The following is a 15,721-nucleotide window of genomic DNA, read 5'->3' on the forward strand; positions in this document are numbered from 1 at the left end:
GGTGTGCACACCTGTAGCCCCAGCTACTCAGGAGGCTGAGGCAAGAGGATCGCCTGAGCCCAGAAGTTCCGGGGGCTGCAGTGCTATAATGATGCCTGGGCTAAAAAATAAATAAAAATAAAATAATAATAATAATAATAAAGGCCCGCACAAATACTTTATAACAGAATAGAACTTGAAACTGGAATGTGGCAAGGAAATGTTGGGGATAATTAAAAACAACAAAAAAATATCTGTATAGGATAGTGTAGTGGTGGGGGATTTGGTGAAGGAAAGGTTAGGAAATCAAGAGCAGTGGAGAGCAGAGTATCAAAACCAGGAACTGCTGAAAGTCTTACAATAGCTGGGATTGATTTTTCTTTAGATAACACTTTAGAAACTAGGCATTTTCTGGAACAGAAACCAGCACCTTCAATTTGAACTTTCATGAAGCTCTTAAAATTTAGGTAATTATGTATCTTTGATGGACAATGGAAGATGCTAAATGTTGTGTAAATCCATTAGAAACCATAGAATGGAAAAATGGCAGGCAACCAGAAAGACTTCAGATGTCCCACCTTGTCCTAGAGAAAGAACTAGTGGTTTTTCCAACATGATCACAAAACGACCTACTTTGAAAGCCTAAGGTTGTGTGGGGATGGGTTGGAAATCTCACTTGGGGTAGGATGATTATTACAACTGAATGAGATTTTTCGTCTGGGAGAGTAATTCAGCCCTCAACAGCTCCTTGAGCTTTGCAACAGCAGCAGACTTTTAATTTGTAATATTAGATGCATTTTCATGAAAAGAAAAAAATACACATTCTTTGTTCAGAAAAATCTTTCTTCTAAAGGTTAACTTATCATTGTGCCATTAATACTTCATCATCTATTTAATCTGGAATGTATCTTAGTGATTTTTTTTTTTTGAGATAGAGTCTCGCTGTATTGCCCAGGCTGGAGTGCAGTGGCATGATCTCGGCTCACTGCAATCTCCACCTCCTGGGTTCAAGTGATTCTTATGCCTCAGCCTCCCGAGTAGCTGGGACTATAGGTGTGTGCCATCATGCCGGCTAATTTTGTATTTTTGATAGAGATGGGATTTTGCCATGTTGGCCAGGTTGGTCTCGAACTCCTGACCTCAAGTGATCTGCCCGCCTCTGTCTCCCAAAGTGCTGGGATTACAGGCATGAGTCACTGTGCCCAGCCTATCTTAACAATTTAAATGGGCATTTTTTTTGCCTCAAAACAAAGCAAATCTGTGTAATACATTTATTTTTGGTATATGTTTATACAGTTTGTGGAATGGAAAGTTAGGAAAAGCTCTGTACTTTTTATGAGTATAATTCTTGAAGCTGAGACACTGAATTTCTCCATTTCACATCCAAGGACTGAGAGCTAAGAGAAGATATGAAGATATTCCTAGAAGCTGCATGTCAAAATGAGAGTGGCTTCCAGTGGAATGATGACCAGATAGATGATCACAGGAATAGTCAGAGGATTATCTTTACAGATCTACACATAACAGGCTAACCTTGGGGTTTAGTTATCTATTGCTGCATAAAAAACTACCTCAAAACTTAGCAGCTTTATTGATTTAGCCATTCCACGATGTATACATATTTAAAAACATCGTGTTGTGCACAACAAATATATACAATTTTTGTCCATTAGAGAAAACCTTAGTGGGCTGGGTGCAGTGGCTCACGCCCATAATCCCAGCACTTTGGGAGGCTGAGGCGGGTGGATCACCTGAAGCTAGGAGTTTGAGACCAGCCTGGCCAACATGGTAAAACCCTGTCTCTACTAAAAATACAAAAAATTAGCCAGGCATGGTGGCAAGTATCTGTAATCCCAGCTACTTGGGAGGCTGAGGCAGAAGAATCGCTTGAGCCCGAGAGGTGGAGGTTGCAGTGAGCCGAGATCGCGCCATTGCACTCTAGCCTGGGCAACAAGAGCAAAACTCCGTGTCAAAAAACAAACAAAACAAAACAAAATAAAACAAAAAAACCTTAGTGGCTTCAATTAACAATCATTTTATTTGTTCATGATTCTGTTGGTGGTTCTTTTACTCTGTTTGGCATTGAATGGGATCACTCATGTGACTGCATTCAGTTGGCAAATCAGCTGGAGGGTGGACTCACTGCGGGTGCTCGGACAGCTGGGTCTGGATATCCAAGATGATTTCACTTGGATGTCTAGGTCTCCTGGCCTCCCATCTCAGCCCTCCTAGTAGTTGGGATTACAGGTGCTTCCAAGTAGTTGGGATTACAGGTGCACGCCGCCACACCTTGATTTCACTCACATATCTGATGCCTCAGCTGGGAGTGGTGAAACAACTGGAAACTATCTGAGCCACCCTACTAAACCGCTCCCAAGGTAGCCAGATCTCTGTCCATGGTGATTCAGGGCTCCAAGAAAGAGCAAGTGGAAGCTGCAAATCTCTTCAGGCCCAGTCTCAAAAGGTACAAAGCATTCTAACAACCAAAGCCCATCACAGGGTGGCCCAGTTTTAAGGGAAGGGGAAATATCTTTTATCTCTTGATGGAGGACATCCCATGGAAAAAGAGCACATGGGATAGGAGTTACTGGATCACCTTCTGGTTGTCTAGCATAAACTTGTTTCTGTCTATTGAGAAATTGAATTGTTTTTATCTTTTAAGTTTCACATGTAGTGCACCATGCAGGTCTGTCTGTACTTCAAGAAGGTGGACCTACCTCTGCAGAAGATGATCTCTAAATGTATTCCCAGTATCTGCAGCATTGATAGATACCGGGCAGACTGGTGTAGGGTGGCGCAGATAATTATTTATATTACCTGTGTGTCTTAAAATTTTAAGGGTAAACAGTAAGTTTTGCCCTCCTTCTTCTGTATCTACAATTGTGCCTACACTTTAAATTATAACACACATACATAATATAAATTGTCCTTGCAGAAGGTAAAGTTAACACAATATCATTTTCTGTCTTCTGAACAGTGATCTTCACATTATTCAACTACCCATTGAATATTTCTTCATCTTCCTTTGTATTATTATCTTGAGCTTTCATTTCATTTTTTAAAATAAAACATATAGGCCTTAGGCAATTATTCTGCATTATACAGGGAGTGTACTTTTATCTTTCAGCATAATTGTGCTATTCCTATTTACTCACTTGTTTTCTTCTGCTCCTTCCCATTACTTTGAAGTCTCTGCATGTCTCTTAAATCTGGTAATTTATATTTTTCACACTTACGTGTATTAAATGATACATGAATTGTTTGTACCATTTTTCATGTTATGAGCTCTCTCTTCTACTGGGTTCAGAGTATAGTTTACTTCATCTGTATTAGTTATCTATTGCTGTATTAACAAATGACTCCAAAATTTCATGGCTTAAAACAACTATAAGCATTTATTATCTTGCACAGTTTTTATGGATTAGAAATTTGGAAGCAACTTAGCTTATGTTTCTGATGAGGTTGCAGTCAAAATGTTGGCCTGGGATGTAGTAATCTGAAGGCTTGACTGGAGCTGGAGGGTTCACTTTCAATGGTTCACCAAAATGGTTGTTGGCAAATGGGTATTGGCTGTTGGTAGGAAGCCTCAGTCCCTAAGTGTGTGGATGTCTCCACAGGACTGCTTGAGGGTTCTCACAACATGGTGGCTGGCTTCCCCCAGAGCAAGTCATCCAAGAGAATGCAAGGTGGAAGATGCAGTGCGTCTTATGACCTACTCTCAGAAGTCATACTTCATCATTTCCACAATATCCTGTTGGTTGCAAAGGTCAGCCCTATGTTGTGAAGGAAGCAACTACACATGGGTGTGATTACCAGAAGGTGAGGATCATTGCGAGACATTTAGAGGCTGGCTACTGAACCATCTATTGAGTTTTTTCTTTCAGTGACTATGTATTTCTAAATTTTTAAGACTTTTTTTTCTTTCTTTTTTTTTTTTTTTTTGAAACAGAGTCTCACTCTGTTGCCTAGGCCTGAGTGCAGTGACTTGATCTCATCTCACTGCAGCCTTGACCTCCTGGGCTGAAGCGATCCTCCCACCTCAGTCTCCTGAGTAGATGGGAATACAGGTGTGTGCCACCATGCCTGGCTAATTTTTGTATATATATATTTTTTTCTTTTTTTTGGTAGAAGCGAGGTTTTTGTCATGTTGCCCAGGCTGGTCTCAAACTCCTGGGCTCAAGCCATCTATCTGCCTGCCTCAGCCTCCCAAAGTGTTGGGATTACAGGCGTGAGCCACCAAGCCTGGCAAAGACTTTAAACTGGTTTATTTTCTCGCCTGGTCGTTCTTGTTTAACACCTCCCTGCTGTTTTTCTTCTTTTTTTTTTCAATTCTTGTCCTTTAAAAAATAGATGTTATTCTCATTTCATCTCTTTGACAATCCTAAACATAAGAAATCTGAAGTCTTTCACATGGTGTTATCATTTTTATTTTACCAGACTAAATTGGTCTTTTGACCATTGATATTGTTATCTGTCTTTCTTAGTTTTCTTTGTATGTTTTGGAATTTGGGGTTGCAAGGCACTTTTTTTTTTTTTTTGAGACAGTCTCACTGCACTGGAGTGCAGTGGTCAGATCTCAGCTCACTGGCAACCTCTGCCTCCCAGGTTCAAGTGATTCTCCTGCTTTAGCCTCCCAAGTAGCTGGGACTACAGGCACGTGCCATCATGCCTGGGTAATTTTTGTATTTTTAGTAGAGACAGTGTTTGACCCTGTTGGCCAGGCTGGTCTCGAACTCCTGACCTCAAGTGATCCGCCTGCCTTGTCCTCCCAAAGTGCTGGGATTACAGGTGTTAGCCACTGTGCCTGGCCTGCAAGGCACTTTTTAAAAATTTTTTTTGGTCAAGTTAATTGAGTACATATGTAAAAGTCACCCTTTTGGGTGTTTAGTTCAAAGAGTTTTGGCAAATATATATGATTCCGTAACCACTACCACAATCAACATAAACACTATTTCCATCACCTCAGAAATTTCCCTCCTGCGCCTTTATAGTCTGTCTTCTTCTCAAACTCTAAGCCCTGGCAATCACTGATATAGTTTCTGGACCTTTAGTTTTGCCTATTTTAGAGCATCATATAGTATGACATAAAGTGTATAGTTTTTAGTGAATGGCCTCTATCGTTTAGAATGCTTTTGAGTTCACCAGTGTTGTCTGTATCTATAGTTTGTTCCTGTTTATTGTAGAGTAGTATTCCATTGTACGTGTGCACCATGATGTGTTTATCCATTCACTAGTTGATGGTCATTTGGGTTGTTTCCAGTTTTGGCAATTACGAATACAGCTGCTGTAAACATTCACATACAGGTGTTTGGATGTATATGTCTTTATTTCTCTTAAGTAAACACCTAGGAGTAGGGTTATAGGTCTATGGTAAACATATGTTTAACTTTTTTTTTTTTTTTTTTTGCCAATTAAGGAATTTATTTTTTTTTTTTTATACTTTAAGTTTTAGGGTACATGTGCACATTGTGCAGGTTAGTTACATATGTATAAATGTGCCATGCTGGTGCGCTGCACCCACTAACTCGTCATCTAGCATTAGGTATATCTCCCAATGCCACCCCTCCCCCCTCCCCCCACCCCACCACAGTCCCCAGAGTGTGATATTCCCCTTCCTGTGACCATGTGATCTCATTGTTCAATTCCCACCTATGAGTGAGAATATGCAGTGTTTGGTTTTTTGTTCTTGCGATAGTTTACTGAGAATGATGGTTTCCAATTTCATCCATGTCCCTACAAAGGACATGAACTCATCATTTTTTATGGCTGCATAGTATTCCATGGTGTATATGTGCCACATTTTCTTAATCCAGTCTATCATTGTTGGACATTTGGGTTGGTTCCAAGTCTTTGCTATTGTGAATAATGCCGCAATAAACATACGTGTGCATGTGTCTTTATAGCAGCATGATTTATAGTCATTTGGGTATATACCCAGTAATGGGATGGCTGGGTCAAATGGTATTTCTAGTTCTAGATCCCTGAGGAATCGCCACACTGACTTCCACAATGGTTGAACTAGTTTACAGTCCCACCAACAGTATAAAAGTGTTCCTATTTCTCCACATCCTCTCCAGCACCTGTTGTTTCCTGACTTTTTAATGATTGCCATTCTAACTGGTGTGAGATGGTATCTCATTGTGGTTTTGATTTGCATTTCTCTGATGGCCAGTGATGGTGAGCATTTTTTCATGTGTTTTTTGGCTGCATAAATGTCTTCTTTTGAGAAGTGTCTGTTCATGTCCTTCGCCCACTTTTTGATGGGGTTGTTTGTTTTTTTCTTGTAAATTTGTTTGAGTTCATTGTAGATTCTGGATATTAGCCCTTTGTCAGATGAGTAGGTTGCGAAAATTTTCTCCCATTCTGTAGGTTGCCTGTTCACTGTGATGGTAGTTTCTTTTGCTGTGCAGAAGCTCTTTAGTTTAATTAGATCCCATTTGTCAATTTTGGCTTTTGTTGCCATTGCTTTTGGTGTTTTAGACATGAAGTCCTTGCCCACGCCTATGTCCTGAATGGTAATGCCTAGGTTTTCTTCTAGGGTTTTTATGGTTTTAGGTCTAACGTTTAAATCTTTAATTCATCTTGAATTGATTTTTGTATAAGGTGTAAGGAAGGGATCCAGTTTCAGCTTTCTACATATGGCTAGCCAGTTTTCCCAGCACCATTTATTAAATAGGGAATCCTTTCCCCATTGCTTGTTTTTCTCAGGTTTGTCAAAGATCAGATAGTTGTAGGTATGCGGCATTATTTCTGAGGGCTCTGTTCTGTTCCATTGATCTATATCTCTGTTTTGGTACCAGTACCATGCTGTTTTGGTTACTGTAGCCTTGTAGTATAGTTTGAAGTCAGGTAGTGTGATGCCTCCAGCTTTGTTCTTTTGGCTTAGGATTGACTTGGCGATGCGGGCTCTTTTTTGGTTCCATATGAACTTTAAAGTAGTTTTTTCCAATTCTGTGAAGAAAGTCATTGGTAGCTTGATGGGGATGGCATTGAATCTGTAAATTACCTTGGGCAGTATGGCCATTTTCACGATATTGATTCTTCCTACCCATGAGCATGGAATGTTCTTCCATTTGTTTGTATCCTCTTTTATTTCCTTGAGCAGTGGTTTGTAGTTCTCCTTGAAGAGGTCCTTCACATCCCTTGTAAGTTGGATTCCTAGGTATTTTATTCTCTTTGAAGCAATTGTGAATGGGAGTTCACTCATGATTTGGCTCTCTGTTTGTCTGTTGTTGGTGTATAAGAATGCTTGTGATTTTTGTACATTGATTTTGTATCCTGAGACTTTGCTGAAGTTGCTTATCAGCTTAAGGAGATTTTGGGCTGAGATGATGGGGTTTTCTAGATAAACAATCATGTCGTCTGCAGACAGGGACAATTTGACTTCCTCTTTTCCTAATTGAATACCCTTTATTTCCTTCTCCTGCCTGATTGCCCTGGCCAGAACTTCCAACACTATGTTGAATAGGAGCGGTGAGAGAGGGCATCCCTGTCTTGTGCCAGTTTTCAAAGGGAATGCTTCCAGTTTTTGCCCATTCAGTATGATATTGGCTGTGGGTTTGTCATAGATAGCTCTTATTATTTTGAAATACGTCCCATCAATACCTAATTTATTGAGAGTTTTTAGCATGAAGGGTTGTTGAATTTTGTCAAAGGCTTTTTCTGCATCTATTGAGATAATCATGTGGTTTTTGTCTTTGGCTCTGTTTATATGCTGGATTACATTTATTGATTTGCATATATTGAACCAGCCTTGCATCCCAGGGATGAAGCCCACTTGATCATGGTGGATAAGCTTTTTGATGTGCTGCTGGATTCGGTTTGCCAGTATTTTATTGAGGATTTTTGCATCAATGTTCATCAAGGATATTGGTCTAAAATTCTCTTTTTTGGTTGTGTCTCTGCCCGGCTTTGGTATCAGAATGATGCTGGCCTCATAAAATGAGTTAGGGAGGATTCCCTCTTTTTCTATTGATTGGAATAGTTTCAGAAGGAATGGTACCAGTTCCTCCTTGTACCTCTGGTAGAATTCGGCTGTGAATCCATCTGGTCCTGGACTCTTTTTGGTTGGTAAACTATTGATTATTGCCACAATTTCAGCTCCTGTTATTGGTCTATTCAGAGATTCAACTTCTTCCTGGTTTAGTCTTGGGAGAGTGTATGTGTCAAGGAATTTATCCATTTCTTCTAGATTTTCTAGTTTATTTGCGTAGAGGTGTTTGTAGTATTCTCTGATGGTAGTTTGTATTTCTGTGGGATCGGTGGTGATATCCCCTTTATCATTTTTTATTGTGTCTATTTGATTCTCCTCTCTTTTTTTCTTTATTAGTCTTGCTAGCGGTCTATCAATTTTGTTGATCCTTTCAAAAAACCAGCTCCTGGATTCATTGATTTTTTGAAGGGTTTTTTGTGTCTCTATTTCCTTCAGTTCTACTCTGATTTTAGTTATTTCTTGCCTTCTGCTAGCTTTTGAATGTGTTTGCTCTTGCTTTTCTAGTTCTTTTAATTGTGATGTTAGGGTGTCAATTTTGGATCTTTCCTGCTTTCTCTTGTGGGCATTTAGTGCTATAAATTTCCCTCTACACACTGCTTTGAATGCGTCCCAGAGATTCTGGTATGTTGTGTCTTTGTTCTCGTTGGTTTCAAAGAACATCTTTATTTCTGCCTTCATTTCGTTATGTACCCAGTAGTCATTCAGGAGCAGGTTGTTCAGTTTCCATGTAGTTGAGCGGCTTTGAGTGAGATTCTTAATCCTGAGTTCTAGTTTGATTGCACTGTGGTCTGAGAGATAGTTTGTTATAATTTCTGTTCTTTTACATTTGCTGAGGAGAGCTTTACTTCCAACTATGTGGTCAATTTTGGAATAGGTGTGGTGTGGTGCTGAAAAAAACATATATTCTGTTGATTTGGGGTGGAGAGTTCTGTAGATGTCTATTAGGTCCGCTTGGTGCAGAGATGAGTTCAATTCCTGGGTATCCTTGTTGACTTTCTGTCTCATTGATCTGTCTAATGTTGACAGTGGGGTGTTAAAGTCTCCCATTATTAATGTGTGGGAGTCTAAGTCTCTTTGTAGGTCACTCAGGACTTGCTTTATGAATCTGGGTGCTCCTGTATTGGGTGCATATATATTTAGGATAGTTAGCTCCTCTTGTTGAATTGATCCCTTTACCATTATGTAATGGCCTTCTTTGTCTCTTTTGATCTTTGTTGGTTTAAAGTCTGTTTTATCAGAGACTAGGATTGCAACCCCTGCCTTTTTTTGTTTTCCATTTGCTTGGTAGATCTTCCTCCATCCTTTTATTTTCAGCCTATGTGTGTCTCTGCACGTGAGATGGGTTTCCTGAATACAGCACACTGATGGGTCTTGACTCTTTATCCAACTTGCCAGTCTGTGTCTTTTAATTGGAGAATTTAGTCCATTTACATTTAAAGTTAATATTGTTATGTGTGAATTTGATCCTGTCATTATGATGTTAGCTGGTGATTTTGCTCGTTAGTTGATGCAGTTTCTTCCTAGTCTCGATGGTCTTTACATTTTAGCATGATTTTGCAGCGGCTGGTACCGGTTGTTCCTTTCCATGTTTAGCGCTTCCTTCAGGAGCTCTTTTAGGGCAGGCCTGGTGGTGACAAAATCTCTCAGCATTTGCTTGTCTGTAAAGTATTTTATTTCTCCTTCACTTATGAAGCTTAGTTTGGCTGGATATGAAATTCTGGGTTGAAAATTCTTTTCTTTAAGAATGTTGAATATTGGCCCCCACTCTCTTCTGGCTTGTAGGGTTTCTGCTGAGAGATCCGCTGTTAGTCTGATGGGCTTCCCTTTGAGGGTAACCCGACCTTTCTCTCTGGCTGCCCTTAACATTTTTTCCTTCATTTCAACTTTGGTGAATCTGACAATTATGTGTCTTGGAGTTGCTCTTCTCGAGGAGTATCTTTGTGGCGTTCTCTGTATTTCCTGAATCTGAACGTTGGCCTGCCTTGCTAGATTGGGGAAGTTCTCCTGGATAATATCCTGCAGAGTGTTTTCCAACTTGGTTCCATTCTCCGCATCACTTTCAGGTACACCAATCAGACGTAGATTTGGTCTTTTCACATAGTCCCATATTTCTTGGAGGCTTTGCTCATTTCTTTTTATTCTTTTTTCTCTAAACTTCCCTTCTCGCTTCATTTCATTCATTTCATCTTCCATTGCTGATACCCTTTCTTCCAGTTGATCGCATCGGCTCCTCAGGCTTCTGCATTCTTCACGTAGTTCTCGAGCCTTGGTTTTCAGCTCCATCAGCTCCTTTAAGCACTTCTCTGTATTGGTTATTCTAGTTATACATTCTTCTAAATTTTTTTCAAAGTTTTCAACTTCTTTGCCTTTGGTTTGAATGTCCTCCCGTAGCTCAGAGTAATTTGATCGTCTGAAACCTTCTTCTCTCAGCTCGTCAAAGTCATTCTCCATCCAGCTTTGTTCCATTGCTGGTGAGGAACTGCGTTCCTTTGGAGGAGGAGAGGCGCTCTGCGTTTTAGAGTTTCCAGTTTTTCTGTTCTGTTTTTTCCCCATCTTTGTGGTTTTATCTACTTTTGGTCTTTGATGATGGTGATGTACAGATGGGTTTTCGGTGTGGATGTCCTTTCTGTTTGTTAGTTTTCCTTCTAACAGACAGGACCCTCAGCTGCAGGTCTGTTGGAATACCCTGCCGTGTGAGGTGTCAGTGTGCCCCTGCTGGGGGGTGCCTCCCAGTTAGGCTGCTCCGGGGTCAGGGGTCAGGGACCCACTTGAGGAGGCAGTCTGCCCGTTCTCAGATCTCCAGCTGCGTGCTGGGAGAACCACTGCTCTCTTCAAAGCTGTCAGACAGGGACATTTAAGTCTGCAGAGGTTACTGCTGTCTTTTTGTTTGTCTGTGCCCTGCCCCCAGAGGTGGAGCCTACAGACGCAGGCAGGCCTCCTTGAGCTGTGGTGGGCTCCACCCAGTTCGAGCTTCCCGGCTGCTTTGTTTACCTAAGCAAGCCTGGGCAATGGCGGGCTCCCCTCCCCCAGCCTTGCTGCCGCCTTGCAGTTTGATCTCAGACTGCTGTGCTAGCAATCAGCGAGATTCCGTGGGCGTAGGACCCTCCAAGCCAGGTGTGGGATATAGTCTCGTGGTGCGCCGTTTTTTAAGCCGGTCTGAAAAGCGCAGTATTCGGGTGGGAGTGACCCGATTTTCCAGGTGCATCCGTCACCCCTTTCTTTGACTCGGAAAGGGAACTCCCTGACCCCTTGCGCTTCCCAGGTAAGGCAATGCCTCGCCCTGCTTCGGCTCGCGCACGGTGCGCACACCCACTGGCCTGCGCCCACTGTCTGGCACTCCCTAGTGAGATGAACCTGGTACCTCAGATGGAAATGCAGAAATCACCCGTCTTCTGCGTCGCTCACGCTGGGAGCTGTAGACCGGAGCTGTTCCTATTCGGCCATCTTGGCTCCTCCCCCAACATATGTTTAACTTAAGAAACTGCCGAACTGTTTCTAAGGAGACTGTACCATTTTGCATTCCTACCAGTAATGCTTGAGTGTTCTACTTGCTCTGCAGTTTTACCACCATTTGGCATATTCAATCTTTGTAATTTTAGCCATATTAATAGGTATGTAGTTGTATTTCATTTTAGTTCTAATTTGCATGTCTCTAATGACTAATGATGTTGACCATCTTTTTACGTATTTAACTTGCTATCCATATTTATTTTTTGGTAAAGTATCTGTCTAAATCCTTTTAGCATTTTTAAAAATGGGGTTATTTGTATTCTTGAATTGTAAAAATTCCTTATATATTCTGGATACAAGTCTTTTATCAGATGTGTTTTGCACTAATTTTTCTAGTATCTCATTTTTCTTAATAGTAAGTATTGGCTTAGTAATAGTAATAGTAATAATAGCTTAGTGATAGTAAGTAATGGCTTAGTATCTCATTTTTCTTAATAGTGTGTTTTGAAAAACAGACACTTAAAATGGGTATAAAGTCCATTTTACCAATTTTTTTGGTTCATGCTTTTAGTATCCTTTCTGAAAAATCTTTGCCTAACACAGAATTACAAGGATTTTTTTCTAGTGTGGAAAAGGAACATGGTTTTTGTATATGATGCAAGATAATGGTTAAAGGAAATGTCATGTGGCTATTTCTTCTAGTATCATTTGTTGAAAAGACTCTCTCCTCTCTCCTTTTAATTACCTGGACATCTTTTCATACTCACTAGGATGGCTGTAGTCAAAGAGATGGACAATAATAACAAGCATTATATGAAAAAATTGAAGGTCTCATACATTGCTGGTGGAAATGTAAAATTGTGCAGCCACTGTGGAAAACAGTTGGGTAGTTCTTCAAAAAGTTAAATATAGAGTTATTATATGACCCAGAAGTTCTACTCCTAAATAGATACCTAAGAAAATGGACAAGTCCACACAAAAACTTTTACATGAATGTTCATAGCACCATTATTTATAATAATCAAAGAGTGAAACAACGCAAAAGCTCATCAACTAACTGATGAATGGATAAACACAATTTGGTATATCCGTATAGTGGAATATCATTCAGGCATAAAAAGAAATGAAGTACAAACATATGCTACAGCATGGATGGACCTTGAAGACATTGTGCTAAGTGAAAGAAGCTAGACACAGAAGGTCACATGTTATAGGAATCCATTCATATGAAATATTCAGAATAGGCAAAATCATGGAAACAAAGTAGACTATTGGTTGCAAAGGGCGATTGGGAGAGTACAATGGGGAATTACTGCTAATAGGTACAGGCTTTCTGTTTGAGGTGATGAAACTGTTCTGGAATTAAATGGTGCTAATAGTTCCACAACTCTGTGAATATAGTAAAAAAAAACGCTGAATTGTACACTTTAAAGTGGTTAATTTTGTGGCATGTGAATTACTTCTCAATTTTTTAAAAAGTTTGGAAAAATGGAGAAATACTGCCTGCTCTTTAACAACACTACTATTAGCATTCTTTTTTGTTGTTGTTGTTGTTTTTTGAGATGAAGTCCGGCTCTGTCACCCTGGCTGGAATGCAGTGGTATGATCTCAGCTCACTGCAACCTCTGCCACCCGGGTTCAAGTGATTCTCCTGCCTCAGCCTCCCAAGTAGCTGGGATTACGTGCTCCCACCACCACTCCTGGCTAATTTTTGTGTTTTAATAGAGACAAGGTTTTATCATGTTGGCCAGATTGGTCTCGAATTCCTGACCTCAGGTAATTCACCCACCTTGGCCTCCCAAAGTGCTGGGAATATAGGCATGAGCCATCGCACCTGGCCACATTCTTATTTTTAAATGTATAACTTAAAATATATATACATAGATGTAAATAGTTTAAATAAACTTGTTTCATAAAATATTAGATCATTTATCATTATCATGTTCTGTGTTGTCCCCTAGTCTCTGTATTCATAATCATAAAGAGCTCAGTAAATAAATACTGATGATTTACTGATCAGTTCCCTTACTATTAGACATACAGGCTACTTATAGTTTTCCATTAGTTTAAACAACATTGCAAATGAACTTCTTGTGTATATAACATTTTTAAATAATTGCAATTCTTTCTTCTGGAAGGTTCTCTAAAGTACAATGAATGGGTCAGAGTAGAACTACAGGATCAAAACTTTTTGATTAAAGCCCAGCACAATGGTACCTGTCTGTAGTCTCAGCTACTGGGAAAGCTGAGGAGGGAGGATCCCTTGAGCCCAGGAGTTCGAGACCTGCTTGGGCAACATAGTGAGACCCTATCCCCAAAACAACAACAATAATAAAACAACTCTTCAATTTGTGTTTCCACAGTTGTTACCCGAAGAGTTAATTAGCTTTGAGTCTGGCCAGTTCCCTTGATACCCATCCCTGATATTATGCACAAAGGTGGGGGAAGGGAAAAGGTGGTAACTGCTCTCTAACTTGAGAGAACTCTGGATGATCAAGGAGTAGGGAATGGTCAGCTGGTTGAGCTAAGCAGCAGTGCAGCAGAGAGCTCCAGGAATAGTCCGTTACTTAAACTTACAAGGGCTTCTCAGTCCTCTTTGGTTGACTAAGGCCCCTACTTGGGCAAAGTTGAAGTTCATGGAGTTCCAGCAATCTGTTAACTTCCTTGAGAGACTAGACACTGGTTCAAATACCCAGACTCAAAGTAATCACCATGCAAGCAGAGGCTATGAAAAGATAGTATACAAAAAATACTAGTAGCCAATAAACATGGAAAAAGGTATTCAGCCTCACTCATACTTAAAGAAATGCAGAGCAAAGCAATGGGGGAATGACTGCCAATGGGTACAGGGTTTTTTTAGGGGGAGGGTGATAGAAATGTTCTGGAATTAGCAGTGATGGTTGCACAACTCTTTGAATATACTAAAAACCACTGAATTACACTGTTTTAAAAGGTGAATTTTATGGCATGTGTATTATATCTCGACTTTAAATAGTGGGAAAAAATAAATTAACCAAAAGACATTAACAAAATGATATAAGACACGAATAGCATGAATCATAATTAGAAAAAAATCAGAAATGAGGTGATAGAACTCAACAAAGAATTACAAGTAGAAAAATATATTTTATAAACTAAGACTAAAGCAGAAGGAACCGAAGAATGGATAAACTCAACACATAATGCTTTAATGAGAAATGAAGGTGAAAAGGAAGAAACTTTTTTTTTTTTTGAGACGGAGTCTCACTCTGTTGGCCCAGGCTAGAGTGCGGTGATGTGATCTCAGTTCACTGCAACCTCTGCCTCCTGGGTTTGAGTGATTCTCATGTCTCAGCCTCCCAGAAACTTTTAAACATCAAAATGAGGAAAGATCAAAAGGATTTGAAACAATGACTAGTATTGAAGATAAGTAAGGAAGATACAATATACAGATAAAAGAAGCCCCTGAAGAAAACAAGGGAATGAAACAAATACAAACAGTGTAATTTAAGAAACGTTTACAGAACCTTAAAAAAGCAAAATATTGCATATTGAAATAGTGGATCGTGTGGCTGAGAACATCAACCTAGAATGACCCACTTCAAGGCATATTTTTCATCAAAATACTGGATGTTAAAGAAAAAGAAAACATTTTTTAGGTATTTAGGCAAAAACAAAAACATGACCTTTATATCATTAGGAGAATAAAATTATGTTCTTACACTGATAGTAATGCTTTATGCCAGGAGAACATGGACTACCATGTTTCAGATATCAAGGAAAGCACATATGATCCAAGGACTTCGTATTAAGCAGAACTGGCTTTCAAGTATAAAGGGCATAGCAAGCAGCTATTAGCAATTAAAGAACTCAGAAAATATTGTTCCCAGCAGTTTTCCCTAAGAAATTTAGAGAATGAGGTTCAGTCAACTAGAGTAGGGAGATTGTAGTATGTGATGGCTATAGGATCTGACAATGAAGATAGAGTAAACCAATAAAAATTGAAAAAAAATTGATTGCATATTTTAAAGTATATTTCTGAACCCTATTTTGTTCTATTCATCTAATATGTCTGTTTTTATATAAATATCATTCTCTTGACTACTATTGGCAATTTTATAAGTCTTGATGTCAGGTATTGTGAATATTCTAATTTTTTTTTTTTCTAAGCTGCTTAGGCTATTCTAGGTCCTGTGCATTTCTATACAAATTTCAGATTCTTCTTCTTAATTTGTGCAGAAAGGCCTGCTAGGATTTTGATTAAGACTGGGTGGAATCTATAGGTCAATTGGAAGAGAACTGACAATAATATCGAGTCTT

The 15,721-nt window shown here is 39.6% G+C and overlaps 1 protein-coding gene across 8 annotated transcripts in view, besides 1 other annotated feature; it reads left to right on the top strand.

Annotated features, from left to right (window-relative positions):
- Window positions 1–15,721, top strand: part of PLEKHH2 (pleckstrin homology, MyTH4 and FERM domain containing H2) — a 130,728-nt gene that overhangs the window by 17,810 nt on the left and 97,197 nt on the right. Inside the window, exon 1 of one of the 8 annotated variants that reach the window (XM_017003351.3) lies at window positions 3,608–3,798. The exons of the other annotated variants lie outside the window; for them this stretch is intronic. The gene's annotated coding sequence lies outside the window, so the exon portion shown is untranslated. Of the gene's footprint in view, window positions 1–3,607; window positions 3,799–15,721 lie in introns of those variants that run through there. 8 annotated transcript variants of the gene reach the window in all.
- Window positions 10,525–11,155: an enhancer, noted in NCBI's record as "OCT4-NANOG-H3K27ac-H3K4me1 hESC enhancer chr2:43892733-43893363 (GRCh37/hg19 assembly coordinates)". NCBI's record gives its function as "activates a minimal SCP1, AML or CMV promoter by ChIP-STARR-seq in primed H9 embryonic stem cells {active_cell/tissue: H9 hESC(primed)}" and the evidence as "EXISTENCE:reporter gene assay evidence [ECO:0000049][PMID:30033119]".

This window comes from Homo sapiens, chromosome 2, assembly GCF_000001405.40.
Source record: "Homo sapiens chromosome 2, GRCh38.p14 Primary Assembly".
Taxonomy (NCBI): Eukaryota; Metazoa; Chordata; class Mammalia; order Primates; family Hominidae; genus Homo; species Homo sapiens.